At 43.5% G+C, this 18,756-nt stretch overlaps 2 protein-coding genes across 7 annotated transcripts in view, besides 1 other annotated feature; one reads left to right on the forward strand and one right to left on the reverse strand.

The window, feature by feature from the left end:
* Positions 1–16,343, forward strand: part of TBCE (tubulin folding cofactor E) — an 85,017-nt gene extending 68,674 nt beyond the window's left edge. For all 4 annotated transcript variants that reach the window (NM_001079515.3, NM_001287801.2, NM_003193.5 and 1 more), the window contains 8 exons: positions 286–350; positions 444–508; positions 1,222–1,374; positions 2,669–2,822; positions 5,714–5,782; positions 6,752–6,811; positions 12,249–12,340; positions 12,570–16,343. In NM_001079515.3, the coding sequence (NP_001072983.1) occupies positions 286–350; positions 444–508; positions 1,222–1,374; positions 2,669–2,822; positions 5,714–5,782; positions 6,752–6,811; positions 12,249–12,340; positions 12,570–12,662 (751 nt within the window). In that variant the 3' untranslated portion in view covers positions 12,663–16,343. The remainder of the gene's footprint in view (positions 1–285; positions 351–443; positions 509–1,221; positions 1,375–2,668; positions 2,823–5,713; positions 5,783–6,751; positions 6,812–12,248; positions 12,341–12,569) is intronic.
* Positions 3,696–18,756, reverse strand: part of B3GALNT2 (beta-1,3-N-acetylgalactosaminyltransferase 2) — a 64,657-nt gene continuing 49,596 nt past the window's right edge. For 2 of the 3 annotated variants that reach the window (NM_152490.5, XM_017000394.2), the window contains 3 exons: positions 18,056–18,215; positions 16,990–17,046; positions 11,090–14,240 (listed from right to left, as the gene is read on the reverse strand). In NM_152490.5, coding sequence (NP_689703.1) covers positions 14,106–14,240; positions 16,990–17,046; positions 18,056–18,215 — 352 coding nt within the window. In that variant the 3' untranslated portion in view covers positions 11,090–14,105. Of the gene's footprint in view, positions 5,399–11,089; positions 14,241–16,989; positions 17,047–18,055; positions 18,216–18,756 lie in introns of those variants that run through there. The other variant, XM_006711749.4, reaches the window with a different exon arrangement.
* Positions 6,131–7,330: an enhancer, noted in NCBI's record as "MED14-independent group 3 enhancer chr1:235605546-235606745 (GRCh37/hg19 assembly coordinates)". NCBI's record gives its function as "activates an origin of replication core promoter dependent on BRD2, BRD4, P300/CBP and CDK7 cofactors, and independent of MED14, by STARR-seq in HCT116 cells {active_cell/tissue: HCT116}" and the evidence as "EXISTENCE:reporter gene assay evidence [ECO:0000049][PMID:35650434]".

Raw genomic sequence — 18,756 nt, forward strand, 5'->3', positions numbered from 1 at the left:
TTCATTAAACTCCGGGCAGTAGACCGTGTCTCTTTCCTCTGAGACGCATTTAGCACCTGACATAGCAGTAGGTACTCAAGAACCATTAGGTGACTATGGAGTCATTAGAATACAGGATAAAGAGTTCACTTTGCATGTCCTAAGTTGGACTTTATGGTTTCTAAGTATTTTACATGGGATTAAAAACCCAGGGTGTAGGAAAAAAATTTACAAACCGAGTCTGGTTGATACCCCATAGCATTTTACATTGTTCTGTGTAATCAAATTGTACATTTTGAATTTCAGGTTAGAACAATTAATCCTCTCTGACACTGGAATTTCTTCTCTACATTTTCCGGATGCTGGAATTGGTATATAAGATTAGTAAAGTTCCCCACTGCCCCCCCACACTATACTTCAGCTACTTTCACTTCTACTGTGTAACTTCATTCCTCTTTTTATAGGGTGCAAAACGTCCATGTTCCCATCCTTGAAGTACCTGGTAGTAAACGACAATCAGATATCACAAGTAAGAGCTGCTCGGAGTATGCCCAGCACACTGTTGCCTCTTTCCACTCTCATGGCAGAGTTTGGAGGTTCCTTCTACCAAAAAAGTAAAAAGAAATTTAAATCGAAAGAGAAATACCTCCTCAGAGTGAAACTCCTCATAAGAAGCCAAAAATATTAAGAAAGAAATTAGTTCACTTCACACTTAAGTGGACTTCACACTTAAATGGCACATTAATAGAGTAAAAGGGGCCGGGTGTGGTGGCTCAAGCCTGTAATCCCAGCACTTTGGGAGGTCGAGGCGGGCGGATCACCTGAGGTCGGGAGTTCGAGACCAGCCTGACCAACATGGTGAAACCCCATCTCTACTAAAAAAAAAAAAAAATCGCAAAATTAACCGGGCGTGGTGGCGCATGCCTGTAATCCCAGCTACTCGGGAGGCTGAGGCAGGAGAATCGCCTGAACTCAGGAGGCGGAGGTTGTGATGAGCCGAGATCGCGCCGTTGCTCTCCAGCCTGGGAAACGAGCGAAACTCCATCTCAAAAAACAAAACAAAACAAAACAAAAAACAACAGTAAAAGTATGTGGTCTTTCTAGAGGGGATTGCTTAGTGCATGATGAAATTCCCTGCCTCAGATTAGAACTAGGGACATGCTTTCCTGTTGCTGGTTCAAACTTCTGCAAAAGTGGCATGAACGTACCGCTTTTCATTTATTTCCTTTTGCTGTGTTTCAGTGGTCGTTTTTCAATGAGCTAGAGAAGTTACCAAGTCTACGGGCTTTGTCCTGCCTAAGAAACCCCCTGACCAAAGAGGACAAAGAAGCAGAGACGGCGCGACTACTCATTATCGCCAGCATTGGCCAGCTGAAGACGCTGAACAAATGTGAGGTGAGCACTGGCGTCATGACTAGATATTTTTTAGACTAGAAAATAAATGATTTTAGGCCAGGCGCCGTGGCTCACACCTGTAATCCCAGCACTTTGGGAGGCTGGGGCAGGCTGATCGCTGCAGTCCAGGAGTTTGAGACCAGCCTGGGCAATCTTGTGAAACCCCATCTCTACAAAAAATACAAAAATTAGCTGCATGGTGGCACGCGCCTGTAAGTGCTTGTAGTCCCAGCTACTCAGGAGGCTGAAGTGGGAGAATCACCTGAGCCCGGGAGGCCAAGGCTGCAGTGAGCCATGAACATGCCACTGCACTCCAGCCTGGGCAATGGAGTGAGACCCTGTCTTAATTTAAAAAAAAAAAAAAAAGTAAAAAAATTATTTTTGAATATTGTAAAGGGGGTGAGATGTAGCTTTCCTTGGAATGGTAAAGATTAGCCTTGTGCAGTTTCATAATAGTGGTTCTTTTCCAGCTCCTCAGGAGAGAGTCCTCCACTTAGATCAGTGCAGTATCATTTGAGGCACACCAGGCACCGTCTCCATGTTTTCAGGGAATGTAGGCAGAAAGAACACAGACCACAGAGCTGCTTTCTCCTCCCCTTCTCAGCCACTCTTCCCCATAAAAGTGGGAAGTCCATGCCTTGTCCTTGCCAGCACTTTTGTGCATTCACTGGGAGTCAGTCAGCTCCACCAGAGCAGGCGCCTCCAGGCAGACCTGGGGGAGGCGACCCAGGGTACCTGGTGTAGTCCTGAAACTGGCCTATGCGCAAGTACTCGCATGAATTAAAAGTGTAGGCCAGGCACGGTGGCTGACACCTGTAATCCCAGCACTTTGGGAGGCCGAGGTTGGCAGATCATGAGGTCAGGAGATCGAGACCATCCTGGCTAACACGGCGAAACCCCGTCTCTACTAAAAATACAAAAAAATTAGCCAGGCATTGTGGCATGCACCTGTAATCCCAGCTATTCCAGAGGCTGAGGCAGGAGAATCACTTGAATCTGGGAGGTGGAGGTTGCAGTGAGCTGAGATCATGCCACTGCACTCTAGCCTGGGCGACACAGCGAGACTCCATCTCAAATTAAAAAAAAAAAGAGTGTAAAACTGAAATTCTTTTTTCTTTTCTAATAAACCCCTGAGTTCTGTCAATGTTAAAAAGAAGGGTGAAAACTAGATCTTGTCCCTCTCAATTTGATTATTTTCTGCATGTGCTATGGAGGAAGGACAAGGTGCAAAACGCAAAGGACATGTTAGAAAAAAGCTTTGTAATAGGCTTGTTTTTATGTCACATGAACATAGATTCTCCCCGAGGAGAGGCGGAGAGCTGAGCTTGACTACCGAAAAGCTTTTGGAAATGAGTGGAAACAGGCTGGTGGACATAAGGATCCGGAAAAAAACAGACTCAGCGAAGAATTCCTCACAGCCCATCCCAGATACCAGTTCCTCTGCCTGAGTACGTGCGTATACACTGGTGGCCTTCAGGTGGTGGATTTCCAGCTGGAACAAAGTTTTTTCTTGGGTATCAAAAGAGGTTCTCAGTGTTGCTTTTGCCCTTCTTCCTTTCCTGGGCTTCTTGTATTCATCTGAATGGACTATAGGCACTTTCCTGGGGCGAGGGCGGCAGGGCAAGAGCAGTATCTTTCAGCAGGAGGAACCTGGGAGACTGTTTATGTTCTTGAAATGGAGAGGTTTGCATTTGGGGAAGGGAAAGCAATTCTTTTATTTTTAAGAGATGGAGTTGGCCGGGCGCGGTGGCTCAGGCCTGTAATCCCAGCATTTTGGGAGGCTGAGGCGGGTGGATCACGAGGTCAGGAGATCGAGACCATCCTAGCTAACACGGTGAAACCCCGTCCCTACTAAAAATACAAAAAAAAAAATGAGCCGGGCGTGGTGGCGGGCACCTGTAGTCCCAGCTACTCAGGAGGCTGAGGCAGGAGAATGGTGTGAACCCGGGGGGCGGAGCTTGCAGTGAGCCGAGATCACACCACTGTACTCCAGCCTGGGCGACAGAACGAGACTCCGTCTCAAAACAAAAAAAGAGAGATGGAGTCTTGCTCTGTCGCCCAGGCCCAGGCTGGAGTGATCTCAGCTCACTGTAACCCCTGCCTCCCGGGTTCAATTTATTCTCCTGCCTTAGCCTCCTGAGTAGCTGGGATTAGAGGCGCCCGCCACCACGCCCGACTAATTTTTGTATTTTTAGTAGAGACGGGGTTTCACCATATTGGCCAGGCTGGTCTTGAACTCCTGACCTCAAGTGATCCACCCGCCTCGGCCTGTCAAAGTGCTGAGATTATAGGTGTGAGCCACCGTGCGTAGCAGGAAAGCATTTCTTTTTCTTTTTTTTTCTTTTGAGACAGAGTCTTGCTCTGTCACCCAGGCTGGAGTGCAGTGGCACAATCTCAGCTCATTGCAACCTCCACCTCCTGGGTTCAAGTGATTCTCCTCCCTCAGCTTCCAGAGTAGCTGGGACTACAGGCGCACACCACCATGCCTGGCTAATTTTTGTATATTTATTTTTTGAGACGGAGCCTCGCTCTGTCGCCCAGGCTGGAGTGCAGTGCCGCGATCTCCGCTCACTGCAAGCTCCGCCTCCCGGGTTCACGCCATTCTCCTGCCTCAGCCTCCCGAGTGGCTGGGACTACAGGCGCCCACCACCACACCCGGCTAATTTTTTGTATTTTTAGTAGGGACGGGGTTTCACCGTGTTAGCCAGGATGGTCTCGATCTCCTGACCTTGTGATCCACCCACCTTGGCCTCCCAGAGTGCTGGGATTACAGGCGTGAGCCACCGCGCCCAGCCAGGGAAAGCACTTCTTAAATGTAGGTTCTTCTCTTGCATATGTCCACCAGGTTTCAGGTGGCGCACCATGCTCCACTGTAGGAAGGGTAGGAAGCACTCCAGTTTATGTCTGAGGCATCCGTATATATATATATTTTTTTGAGATGGTGTTTCGCTCTTGTTGCCCAGACTGGAGTCCAATGGCGCGATCTCGGCTCACTGCAACCTCTACCTCCTGGGTTCAAGTGATTCTCCTGCTTCAGCCTCCTGAGAAGCTGGGATTACAGGCGTCTGCCACCATGCCCGGCTAATTTTTTGTATTTTTAGTAGAGATGGGGTTTCACCAGGTTGGCCAGGCTGGTCTCAAACTCCTGAACTCAGGTGATTCGCCCGCCTCAGCCTCCCAAAGTGCTGGGATTACAGGCGAGAGCCACCGCGCCCAGCCGGCATCTGTATTTTTTTAAAGCCCCCCAGGTAATTCTAGTGAATAGGAAAGTTCGTATGAGTGTAGTTCTGCAGTAAGCTCTCGTCCCGAGGGCTCGCTACCAAGGCTGGCACTTGGCATGCACGGTGGTTCCTTAAATCCTCCAGCCTGGTTCTTCAGGCTTTGAAGCTAAGAATTCATGAGTCTTTGTCCCTGATGTACTTTCCATTTTGTTTTGATGACATTATTACTCCACATTTCGCTTTTATGTTATTTCCTTTTTTATATTTCTTAATGCAAGAAGCTCGCTGCATAAACGCTTCAGGCTTGAACAGTATGTTTAAGGAAGAAAAGCAGCCTAGAGGAATCACTTTCAAATGACTCCATTAGCCAGCCCAATCTCCTGGCCACGCTCGGTGAATTCTAAATCACTCGGGGGTGGGCAAGGGAAGATGTGAAGCAGCCGGGCAGGTATTGTTGAGTATTTCACTGCTAAGAATGTTAGAAGACAAAAGCACAGATAGATGGGGGGATTTAGAGAAATGTTGTCACTGTTTGGCCTAGAGCAGGAAAAAAGTACTGCTTTCCTCCTCTCCTGTGGAGGCTGTGGTCCAGGCCTAGGAACTGGTTTGCAGTATGGTACTGAGCACCCAGCCTGGCACTGCACGGTCTGGTGGAAACGTGAGAAGTGTCCTGTGGATCGTGTCTCAGGTGGCACCAGGTTTCTGTCAGCGCAGAAAGAGAACTGTTACCAAAGGTGACACTCGGGGAAAACATTTGAAGTATTTGAAGGCAGTCTTCTCTTGCTAGTTTTGAGTCAGGACACCTAAGGAACAATGATGTAATACACATGTAAACATGTTGCTTTTCATTTGTTGTCTTTTGTTGAGTTTCACTGGTCATTAACAATGAGCTAGATAAGCTACAGAGTCTGCAGCTCTGGGTAGATAGAAGATTCTGCCCTTGGAAGTGGTCGTTGTCCATCACTCCTAAAAATCACACTGAATAAAGGCAGCTCCATGTGTCCTGGGAAAGGCACAGGCTCTCTGGACGCTTACCTATCCTTTGTTTGTTTGTTTGTTTTGTTTTTACTTATAGTGGCCTTTGGTTTATCATTCATCTCTTTTGCTTTCTTAAACAGAATATGGTGCACCTGAAGATTGGGAACTCAAAACACAGCAACCACTTATGCTGAAAAACCAGCTACTAAGTAAGAATCTCAGATTCAAATAGTTTATTTGTATTTGAGTGCTTAGGTGCTGAAACAGTTAGTGTGTTTCTCTTAAGTGTGTACCTCTTAAGTACCTAAGTAAATGCCTTGAGTTTTAAATGAAAATTTTTTTTTTTTTTTTTGAGACAGAGTCTCCCTCTGTCTCCCAGGCTGGAGTGCAGTGGTGTGATCTCAGCTCATTGCAACCTCCGCCTCCCAGGTTCTAAGCGATTCTCCTGCCTCAGCCTCTGGAGTAGCTGGGACTACAGGCATACACAACCATGCCCGGCTAATTTTTTTTAATCGAGACGGAGTTTTGCTCTTGTTGCCCAGACTGGAGTGCAGTGGCACGATCTTGGCTCACCGCAACCTCCGCCTCCCGGGTTCAAGCGATTTTCGTGCCTTAGCCTCCCGAGTAGCTGGGATTACAGGCATGCGCCACCACACCCAGTTAATTTTGTATTTTTAGTAGAGATGGGGTTTCACCATGTTGGCCAGGCTGGTCTCAAACTCCTGACCTCAGGAGATCCACCCGCCTCGGCCTCCCAAAGTGCTAGGATTAGCGGCATGAGCTACCGCGCCCTGTCAAAGAAATGAATTCTTTAAAACATGTTTAAATTCTTATACATTTTTGTAACTCCTATGTTTTAAACTCATTTAATAGTGTTATAAATGTGGGAGGTATTGGAGTTGTGAACCAAATTGTGATTTGTGAATTTATGACTTGAAAACCTAGCCAAGCTGTAAGGAAAGAAGTACTAAGTGGGGAAAAGGGAAAGTATTGTCCAGCTATTTCTGTTGTTGTTAGCAATCCATGGAAGGATTAATAGAAAGAATTTTAAACATTGATTAGACCTGCCAATTTGCACTGAATACCTCTATCATTTGGCCATCTGTTGATGTGTGTGGATAATTTAAATCCATATAATAGTAGATATCAATTAGTCTTTTTCTTTGTTTCTCTTAAAGCACTGAAGATAAAATACCCTCATCAACTTGATCAGAAAGTCCTGGAGAAACAACTGCCGGGTAAGAAGAACCAGCCTGTCTTTTCCTTAAACTCTGAATCATCGGCCTAGGTATGAGTCAGCTAAAATTAAAACCTTTAACTCATGTCTCAAAGTGTGGACCTCAGAACTTACAGGTTTTCATTAGTCTTTTATATTCTAAAATACAATCAATCATGCTAATATCACTCCCCCATGCCCCCAAAAGTTCAGGTCTCCCCTAACTTTATCAGCTGAAAGCAGTTCTGTTAAAATTGGAAGCCCCTGCATATAATTACACACACACACACACACACATATATATATACACACACACACACAATTTTTTTTGAGACAGGGCCTCACTCTGTCACCCAGGTTGGAATGCAGTGGCACCAACTCAGCTCACGGCAGCCTCTGCTTCCTGGGCCCAAGCAATTCTCCAGCCTCAGCCTCCACGTAGCTGGGACTACACGTGCGAGCCACCAACGCCCAGCTAATTTTTGTATTTTTTGTAGAGATGGGTTTTCGCCATGTTGCCCAGGCTGGTCTCGAATTCCTGAGCTCAAAGCCATCCTCCTGCCTCAGCCTCCCAGTGTTGGAATTAATTACAGGCATGAGCCACTGCAGTTGGCCTAAGTTGTATTTTTAACCAAAAAACCTGAGACCTTGAATGGCATAGCCTTTTGGAAGCATTCCCCAAGCCTGCTGCTGTTTCCAGGGAGACTGTGACACTGGGTTTGGGGTCTGCTTCTCATCCCTTCATAAGAGAGGAGCTGTGTCCTGGTGAACCAAATTCTTACGGGAGGTTTGTGACTTTGCTTACATTCTACTTCTCCTGACTGATTAGGAGTCCCTGCAAAAACAATTCGCAGATGCTCTTTTAATGGACACCCTGAAATGGTTTTCTTTGAGAAAGCTACCTTAGAACTTAAAAAAATTGTGGTACTGGAACTGAATTACTTTTATTTGGAAAATAAATATGCTTGTGTCAATAAAGTAGATCAACATAACTTACCTTAAACTTTCACTCAAAAGAAAAATGAAATTATAGTCTATTTTTGAGTATGCCATGATACTGTGAATTCTCAAGATTAAACTTGATTCATAGCTAAATGCTAAAATATAAATAATTTAGAGCAGTGAGGATTTAAATAAATGAAATACACATCAGCTTAATGACTCTAGTACACTGGGTTTCTTTGCCCATCAGTGCAGTAAATTCACATTGATTTTTAAATTAGTTTCTATCAGATAAAGCAAGCTTATCATGGTATTGCTTATAGAAGGCCTTAGTTGTGTTCAAAGAAGTACCTTTCTGATTGATAACCATCCATTTAATTTACCACAACGTCTCCATTTTTATTTATTCACAATCCAGTTTCTACTCCTGTAATATGTAATTTGGCTACTGCTATATAATGGGTTAGAATTAGTGATTTCCCCCTTCATTATTCTGTTTTCAAACTTAGACAGACAGTAAAGGCCCTGGTGGAGACAGACTAGTCAAAGAGGGCCAGGACTGTTTTATTTTTGATATATTTTTTTCAGATGGGGTCTGGCTGTCACTCACGCTGGAGTGCAGTGGTGCCATCTCAGCTCACTGCAGGCTCCATCACCTTGATCCCGGGCTCAAGTGATCCTCCTACCTCAGCCTCCTGAGTAGCTGGGACTATAGGCACGAACCACCACACCCCGCTAATTTTTTTGATTTTTAGTAGAGATGAAGCCTCGCTATGTTGCTAAGGCTGGCCTCAAACTCCTGAGCTCAAGCAGTTCTCCTGTCATCACCTCCCAAAGTGCTGGGGTTATAGGTGTGAGCCACCATGCCTGGCAGGCCAGGACTTTCTGTGAATGTTTTTGGCCTTCGATGTCTTTGCGTGTTTCCTTTTGCCTTTGCAGATACATCAAATCAATTCATGGGAATGTTACCACTATAGAGTATTTGCTCAAGAATATTGTCATTAGACCTGTTTCGTTAAGCTTTCCTTTTCAGTCTTTCTCTGGAAGGCACTGAGGTAGACCTGCCAAGGCCTGCCGTCTGGGCATATGCCTGAATGCAGCCCTTGGCTGGGGGTGACAGTGCCGCCTTACCCTTCTCTACTTCCACACTGTACACCTGACTGGTATCCCAGGTCTTCTGAGATTCAGTTAGCCATTTTGGGAACACCCACTGCATTCATGCTGTTTTTATTAATCTTTGGGTAGCTAGCAGAGATTCGACTATCCATAGAAATTATATGTAAGAATTACTACTTTAAACTATTCAGAATCTGAGTCCTATATTCTATAAATTCAGCAGTAAGCCAGCAGATTACAAGGGTTCCTTTTTTTCCCCTTTTTTATTTGCTTTTCTGTTTCTCAAATGTGCACTCACTCACTCACTCATACAAAGGTTCTTAATACTAATTCTTATGCCACATGCTGTGAATATTTAACCACTAACATAGGTAAATGTCTTCTAAACAGAAAAGTAATAGCCAGGCATGGTGGCTCACACCTGTAATCCTAGCACTTTGGGAGGCCAAGGTGGGCAAATTGCTTGAGCCCAGGAGTTCGAGACCAGCCTGAGCAACATGGTGAAACCCCGTCTCTACAAAAATAAATAAATACAAAAATTAGCTGGGTGTGGTGGTGCATGCCTGTAGTCCCAGCTGCTTGGGCGGCTGAGGTGGGAGGATCACTTGAGCCTGGGAAGTTGAGGCTGCAGTGAGCTGTGATTGAGCCACTGCAATCTGGCCTGGGTGACAGAGTGAGGCCCTGTCTAAAATTAAAACAAAACAAAACAAAACTGCAATATCTTTTTTTTTATCCATTAGATTAGCAAAATTAAAATAATACTGGCTGGCATGAAAAAGCAGTATACCCTTTTTTAAAGTCATGTGGGAACTACTATAAAAAGTTAAAAATACACATATGCTCTGACCAAGCATTGTATCTTGCAGCATTTGTAATGGTAAAGATAGTAAGAATCTAAGTACTTGCCAGCGGAGGAATGGTGAATAAGCTCTGGTGGAACCACACAGCACACAAGGCACTGTCGTGTGTCACCGAGGAGAGTGAAGCAGTCTAGAGCTGCGCTGTCCAGTGTGGCTGCAATAACCACATGTGGCTATTTAAATTCATTAAAATAAAATAAATTGAGTTCTTCAGTCATACTCGCCGCTTTCCAGGTGCTCAGTACCACATGTGGCTGCCATACTGGGCAGTGTATGGCTAGAGGACATGGCATGGAATTGGCATGAAAAGCTATACCATCATGTCATAAAGAAATACAAATGTAGTACGTCAATATATTATAAAACCTATACATCCTTTTTTTTTTGAGACGGAGTCTCATTCTGTCACCCAGGCTAGAGTGCAGTGGCATGATCTCGGCTCACTGCAAACTCTGCCTTCCGGGTTCAAGCAACTCTCCCGGCCTCAGCTTCCCAAGTAGCTGGGATAACAGGTGCCCGCCACCATGCCTGGCTAATTTTTGTATTTTTAGTAGAGACGGGGTTTCTCCATGTTGGCCAGGCTGGTCTCAAACTCCTGACCTCAGATGATCCGCCCGCCTCGGCCTCCCAAAGTGTTGGGATTACAGGCGTGAGCCACTGCGCCTGGCTTAAAACCTATACATCCTTATATGAACACAGAAAAAAAAAGGCCTAGAGGTATACCTCTCAAATTTTTAACACTGGTCATAGGCAGGTAAAAAGAAATAATCAGCTATTTCCATATTTTCTGAATGTTAAGACAGTCATGTTACTATATTAAAAATGGTAATGCTATTTATTACATAGAGATTGCTACTTTCTTCTATAGAACCGGTATGAGTAGGCAGGTTTTTTTTTTTTTTTTGAGACAGGTTCTCACTTTGTTACCCAGGCTGGATGGAGTACAGTGGCGCGATCATGGCTCACTGTAGCCTTGACCTCCTGGGCTCAAGTGATCCTCCCAAGTAGCTGGGACTAGAGGCGTACATCGCTATGCTTGGCTAATTTTTTATTTTTTGTAGAGATGGGGTATCCTCATGTTGCCCAGGCTGGTCTCAAATTCCTGGGCTCTGATCCCTCTGCCTCCCAAAGTGCTGGGGTTACAGGTGTGAGCAGGCCAGGCAGATTTCTTATTAGAACTGTTTTATGACCAAACTTTTTGTTTCTGGCATGTGTTAGGAGTATGTCACTCCCCACTGGTGTGCAGCAGGTAACCCCTTCTCTCACCAGCCTTCAAACAATGAAAGCCAGTCCGTCTCAATCTTTTGAAAGGACTAGACTATCACATATTCACACATGAAAGAGCAAATTGTTAATTAAAATTATAAATTCTATTAACTGTATTCAATACATACAAAAAGGCCAGTTTTTATTCTAAAATAAAGAACATTTATTATCACAAGTTGGATAAAAACACACAGCTTTTACAAAAATGATTTTTGATAGAAAAATATGTTTGAATACACTGTGATATTTGTAGGAACACCACACTATTGCTGTATCTCCAGCTAAAGCTTCAAGGAAACTCTATTTCTTATAATCAAAATATCCACTATTTACCACAACCCGTCTTTGGAAAGAAGTTCATAGTGTATTCTGAACAAACCAAAGCATTTACTCGGAAGTTACATTCCCATGCCTGGCAGTCACTTGTGTATGTTTAATACAGTTACACATGATGTAATTACAGAATGGCGGCGCTGGAAGGGACCTTGTAGATCATTTAGTTGGCACCCTAATTTTACAGAGGGGGAACTAAGGCCAGAGTTGAGAGATGTCCTCAGGATACCTGAGTCCCATTCCAGTGTTCGTTCAGTAATTCATAAGGAAGTCATCATAAAGGTTTAAAAAGAAAACGTTAATGACTCGCTCCCTTTATTCTTCTGTGCTGAGAGTATCATTCTGGTTTATTCAGATTAAGAAAGAAATACACTACTGAAATGGTATGAAACTCACTGTCAAAGGGCACTTAGGTCCGTTGGCTCCGTTTCCCACAGTTCCCCAAATGAACAGGTGGTACAAGACTCAGGCTTTCCCCTAATTACTTACTTGGGTAAAGTGACTTGGGTAAAATGAAAGATACAGCCAGGCGCTGGGCTCATGCTTGTAATCCCAGCACTTTGGGGGGCCAGGGCGGGCGGATCACGAGGTCAGGAGTTCAAGACCAGCCTGGCCAACATGGTGAAACCCCGTCTCTACTAAAAATACAAAAGTTAGCTGGGTGTGGTGATGGGCACCAGCTACTCAGGAGGCTGAGGCAGGAGAATTGTTTGAACCCGGGAAGCGGAGGTTGCAGTGAGCCGAGATTACACCATTGCACTCCAGCCTGGGCGACAGAGCAAGACTTACTTAAGTAAGTAAGTAAGTCAGTCTCAAAAAAAAAAAAAAAAAAAAGACAGATACAGCTATCATTGCAATGATACTGTGGTCTCATCACATGAGCTAGTTTTACAGGTAACTGTCATTTGAGAGAACGAATGGACTTTTCTTGTCTTTTGATAGGCTCCATGACAATTCAAAAGGTGAAGGGATTGCTGTCACGTCTTCTCAAAGTTCCTGTGTCAGACCTTCTGTTGTCCTATGAAAGTCCCAAAGTAAGTTGCCCAGCAAAATACAAAGTCAAAGTCAAGCTTAGTCCTCGTATTATGACATTAAACTGTCTCTAGATAGCAACAGTTTGATTCTAAATGGAGACCATGGGTCTGTTTGTTTGATTTTAAGGGTAAGCTACTGCCTGGGGACGGGGTGGGGGAAGAGTATGTGTAGCATGCTTTATCGGATCTGTCTTAATCACATCCTTCCCCACCTTCGTTCTAATTTTAGAAGCCGGGCAGAGAAATCGAGCTGGAAAATGACCTAAAGTCATTACAGTTTTATTCTGTGGAAAATGGAGATTGTCTATTAGTGCGATGGTGACAACCAACTAATAAAATTTAAAGACCACACTGCTTATCGTGTCTGGGGTTCACCGGAAATAAATGATTCACTGGAACAATTCTACTGTCAAAACAAAGGGGGTTTACAACTTGTCCTAAGTATAACAAGGGATGTATTTTTTGTTGGGAAGTGACCATTTCTAGGCTTATACATAATAGCAATAATAAAGGCTTTGAACCTACTAATGATTTTCTGATCTTATTTCATATTTATTTTTACAGCTCATCACTGCATTTCATGATAAGATTTAAATATTAAATAGAAAGAAACTAGCTAGCCTAATAAAATCTGAACACAGTTAATATCTGTCATAAGACTAGTTTTAATGGAATTCTCTATTGAAACTACTATTTTAAAGGGTTACTAGAAATGATTTGGTTGGTCATTTTGGGAAATGTCCCTTAAACTTGGGGAGACATCCTCTACTATGTATAACAATATGCTATTATCTGTCTTCTCAGTTGCACTATTTCTAAGAGTACTTAAATTAATCACATGCTTTTCCCTACAATTATACCTAAGCTGAGTATATCTTCTTCTGTGATAACCAGCTTTGATTGAAATGTACTCATATTAGGTAAACATTAGGCAATGATAGGAGGAAAGCAAAACTAATTCTTTCAAAATGTCAACAAAATTTAGAAATATCCTTCCCGATGGCACTAAAACCCTGAGAGGTATTTGCTTTTATTCATACTCACACAACTTTAGCATTTAAAAACTATGAGTACTAAACTGTGACCTTCAGGATTTATGTTAGATGGCAGAAAGAAAATTTGGGTATTAGTCTACCATATAAATGAACTTCTTTAAAACCAAGGTTCAGAACTGAGAATCATATTGGTTCCTCTTCAAGTTAGTTCAAGTTGCCCACTTCAGAGATCCACAAAATCTGACATTATTTCCAGAAACCCCAAACTTTGGTATAAGTGACCACTGCTCAAATATGTGATCACATGATCACACAGCATTCCTGTGAGTTCCTTTTTGTCTGATAATTATCCTAATTAGCTCTACAGAGCTATCCTGCAATCCAGGTTGAAATTCAAACTCTCAGTTACTACTACAGATTTCTGAACTAGGCCAAGTTTTAACCAAAAACTATAGGTAATGGTGAATTACTAATTAGCCACAATGCATCAGGATTTAGAAATATTTTTTCTTTTATAAAATAACTTGGTATTTTTCTGATAATCTTCCAATAGATAAATAAAAACTTTTCTTATGCTACAGTACAAGTTGATTTTTAAGGAAATTTGTGCAAACATTAAGAAACACCGCATTGGTTCTGGGTGAAAGTGCCAGTCTGGAACTCTCTTGAAAGACCATACAGTCTACTGCTAAACCCTGGGACTCCTCAGACTTGCACTCAGATTATCGTTTGCCTGCCCTGATTTTAGACTCTGCTAATTCAAGTCCCTGTTATCTTGCTTGACATCGACAAGGATCACCGCACCGTTCCTTCAGTTTCCACAGTTCCGTCAGTTCCCACGGAGAATACTGAGGAGAAGACAGCATTCCTGTCTCACAGGTCTTCTCACACAGCCACAGACTGTCCTGTTGAGAAACAACCAAAGCCGATCTGAGAGTGGTGAAACTGTTTTAAGAGCATCAGAAAGTATGCACGTAGACAGCTTTTATGTATTCTAATGATGCTGAAATTATTTCAAGGATAACTCCGTGTGTGGAACAACTGGTGAGGTTTGGGGGTGGCACCTCCTGATTTGGGAAAGCACCAGGTCCCACAGTCCTGTGGCTGTGGAATACAGAAACAAGGCGGTGTGTGGATGAAGAGTTAGTCAACAAATGCCATTCCGTAATGAACGATTTTAGAAACCACAAGTGAGTTTCATGTTTGCTAGTAAAGGTGTGTCTATGGCAGTATTAGTAACAGCTATTATTCTGATGGAATGCTTACAATATTGCAGGGACTGTACCAAGTGCTTTGTAAATATCTCACTTAAATCTCACAGTAATGCTGTGAGGTAGGAACTATTTCCCTCTTAACAATTGAGGAACAAACGAAGAGTTAAAAAACTTGTTCCAGGTCACAGGGCTGGTAAATGAAGAGGAGGGATTAAAGACTCCCAAGCTCAAGTTCTTAACCACTAGACTATTTCCTAGCTACGTGAATTGGTTTCTATTTCCAGCAATGTAGCAGAACACAGAGAGAAACTCATTCAATGTTTTGACAACACAAAAATGTTGGATAAAATTAAAAACCTTTATAAAGCATGGCTCAACTCCGTGATCAAAGAAGAAACAGGGTAGGAGAAAGCACTGAGTCAGCCTGTGCCTTGAAGGCAGCTGCTGATCCTTGGGTTTGGAAGGCCAAGCCCAGGGTCAGGAGACTAATGGGAGACTGACACAGAGCTAGGATCTCTGAGGGGCCACAGCCTCAGGGGTGATAAAACAAAACACACTCAGCTTGTCTGTCTCAGTCTTGCCCCTCAGTGGGATGGAAAGGAGTCTCTCTCCCCTCAGTGCCTACCCACAGCTTGCACTTAGGTAGGTCTGGGGCTGGTAGTCAGTCTGTGTAAGCCCAACAGTTCCAAGCCAAAAATCTGAAGTATTCATAGATGGTAGTATTCCTAGATGCATGGCAGAAAAAAATGTAAATATGTAAATCCTCTCTGTAGGAATGCATTTTAAATAGAGGACTCAGTTTCCAAAGACATGAGATGGTCACAAAAAAAAAAAAAAAAAAAAGACCGCATCAGAAAACAAGCGCCATGAACAACAGTTGTAGAAACAACAAACTGCAAAATCAGACCCAGCAAAGACTACAGATCCCAGAATTACCAGATACAAAAAAGAATTATATTCAAAGATGAGACAAAGTACAGCAAAGGAATCAGACTATCAAAGTGGACCATGTAGATGTGGGTTGATTTCTTGTCCTGGACTGAGAGCTGCTCTGGGACCCCAGCTCTATGCAGGGCTTCTAACTGACAGACACTGCATGTGCCTTCTGTCCCCTGCACCTTCGATGGCCAAAGTGGAAGCTGCAAGAATCCAGAACAGAAATCTCTGAAGCTAAAGCCAGCTTTGTGCTTGATTTCTTCCCAGGGCTCTAGTTTCCATTTTGGTCTCTGCAGATTCATTTTTTTTTCTGGTTCAGCAATACTGTGTTTTAAATGATGTCTTATATTTCATGCAGTGTCTTATTTTTATCGGTCAGAAGGGTTGAAGGATCCTTAGACTGCCACACTCAATCAGTGGATTCTGTCGTTCAGTTTTTTTTTTTGAGACGGAGTCTCGCTCTGTCGCCCAGGCTGGAGTACAGTGGTGTGATCTTGGCTCACTGCAAGCTCTGCCCCCCGGGTTCATGCCATTCTCCTGCCTCAGCCTTCTGAGTAGCTGGGACCACAGGCGCCCGCCACTATGCCTGGCTAATTTTTTTTGTATTTTTAGTAGAGATGGGGTTTCACCGTGTTAGCCAGGATGGTCTCCATCTCCTGACCTCATGATCTGCCCGCCTCGGCCTTCTGTTGTTAAGTTTTAAAGCTGCAAATAATTTCTGATCAAATCTATGGAAACTGAGTTTTTTTGTAGGCAGGGGAACGTTGATTTATAACCTTTTGCTTTAAACTCAGAAAAATACTGTATGAGAAATAACCTAGTGGATTATTGTGAATTAAAGCAACAGCATAACTATTATGGTAGAAGATCCTCATTCTTTCTGCCCATGGTGTGATAAACATTACAGGTTGAGCATTCCAAATCTGAAAATTTGAAATCCAAAATGCTCCAAAATCCAAAACTTTTTTTTTTTTTTTGAGACAGGGTCTCTCTCACTCTGTTGCCCAGGTGGGAGTGCAGTGGTGCATTCACAGCTCCCTGCACCCTCGACCTCCCAGGCTCAAGTTGATCCTCCTACCTTAGCCTCCTGAGTAGCTGGGACCACAGGCAGGCGCTGCCATGCCCAGCTAATTTTTTTGTAGTTTTTGTAGAGACGGGGGGTTTCACCATGTTGCCCAGGCTGGTCTTGAACTCCTGGGCTCAAGTGATACACCCACCTTGGCCTCCCAAAGTGTTGGGATTACAGGCATGTGCCACTATGCCCAGCCCAAAACTTTTTGAGAGCCAACATGACACTCAAAGGAAATGCTCACTGAAGCATTTCAGATTTTCAGATTTGGAATGTGCAACTTCTAAGTATAATGCAATTATTCTAAAATCCAAAAAAATCTGAAATCCTAAATACTTCTGGTCCCAGGCATTTTGGATAAAGAACACTCAACCTGTATATAGAAATCCACCTCCTCAACTCTTAAGAACCCTGAGGCCATCCCCAAAGACTTACCTGGTATCTTTTAGGTCCTATGGCAGCCATCCAGATGCCCATGCTTACATCTTCACCCTATACATGGCCCATAAAGTTTAAATGTAAAAATTTTAATGCTATTTTATTTGTAAAGACAAAACCATAGCCACTCCCATCATAAACCACCTTTCTACTTTTTTGCTCTGTTATTATTCTAATATGAAATAGCAAAAATGGGTTCACATGAAGTCAAAGCTAGTGGTCTTTAATATGAAGCACCCCTGCCACAAGGTAATAAGATGAAACCGCGAGCAGACGACCCATCCTTCTCATGTACCTTAAGCTTCCAGGAAGCACTTAGGGCTTCCTCCTTAGGAATAAAAATCTTTCTATTCCTCCAGGGACTATACTTTTTTTTTTTTTGAGACAGAGTGTCCCTCTGTCGCCCAGGCTGGCATGCAGTGGCGCAATCTCAGCTCACTGCAAACTCCGCCTCCGGGTTCACATGATTCTCCTCCTCAGCCTCCCAAGTAGTTGGGAATATAGGTGTGCGCCCAGCTAATTTTTTGTATTTTTAGTAGAGATAGGGTTTTGCCATGTTGGCCAGGCTGGTTTTGAACTCCTAACCTCACGTGATCTGCCTGCCTTGGCGTCCGAAAGTGCTACAATTACAGGCATGAGCCACAGTGCCCAGCCTCCAGGGATGACACCTGTAAATACTAGCTGAAAACATAATAAGTAGGCTCAAAAAAGATTTAGGAATAGAATTTAAAGGCAAGATTTGAGGGATGTAGGGGTGCATCCTTAACCTTTGAGAGGTGATTCCTATACAGAGAATAACGTGCTTTTCCCCAAGGTAAGTGGGTTCTGCTTTCCATGATGGGATGCCGAGTGAGATGAAACTTGGTGTGATGAGTGTATACGTAGGTGGGAAATCCTTAATTTTTTGTTTTTATTTTATTTTTTATTATAGAGATGGGGTCTTGCTATGTTACCCAGGCTGGTCTTGAATTCCTGGGCTCAAGTGATCTACCCGCCTTAGCCTCCCAAAGTGTTGTGATTACTGGCAAGAGCCACCACGCCAAGCTAAGAAATTCTTAATTACCTGATAGGTCTTTAACCTCCCCGAGTTGCTTGCCAGCCACTTGACGATGTCCTTGGAGATCACATATCCTGACCCACATGCAAAGGCAGGGTAAGCGGGGCTCGGGTACTCCAACTCCTGCCACTTTCCGGTTCGGTCAACTGCCCAATTCAGTCTGAAACTGAGATGAAAAATAATGTGGCCTCTTGTGTTAGTCTGACACATATCCTGCCACTATTAAAACTTGACTCCTTTATCATCACTACAAAGGAATAAGCTTGTAGAAGTGAGGAAAGAAAATAAGAAAATTTCTTTTTTTTTGAGATGGAGTTTTGCTCTTGTTGCTCAGGCTGGAGTGTAGTGGTGCCATCTCGGCTCACTGCAACCTCTGCCTCCTGGGTTCAAGCAATTCTCCTGCCTCAGCCTCCCGAGTAGCTGGGATTACAGGCGCACACCATCATGACCAGCTAATTTTTTATATTTTTAGTAGAGACAGGGTTTTGCCATGTTGTCCAGGCTGGTCTTGAACTCCTGACTTTGGGTGATCCACCCTCCTCAGCCTCCCAAAGTGCTGGGATTACAGGCGTGAGCCACTGCCCTTCCAGAAAAAAATTTTCTTAATCTAAGGAAAGGAATTATCATTTATCCAGTGTTGTTTTAGATAAAAGATTGGTTATGTTAAATTTTCTCAAAGTTGCATTTGTAGAGTTTCTGAATGAAAA

Source organism: Homo sapiens, chromosome 1, assembly GCF_000001405.40.
Source record: "Homo sapiens chromosome 1, GRCh38.p14 Primary Assembly".
Lineage (NCBI taxonomy): Eukaryota > Metazoa > Chordata > Mammalia > Primates > Hominidae > Homo > Homo sapiens.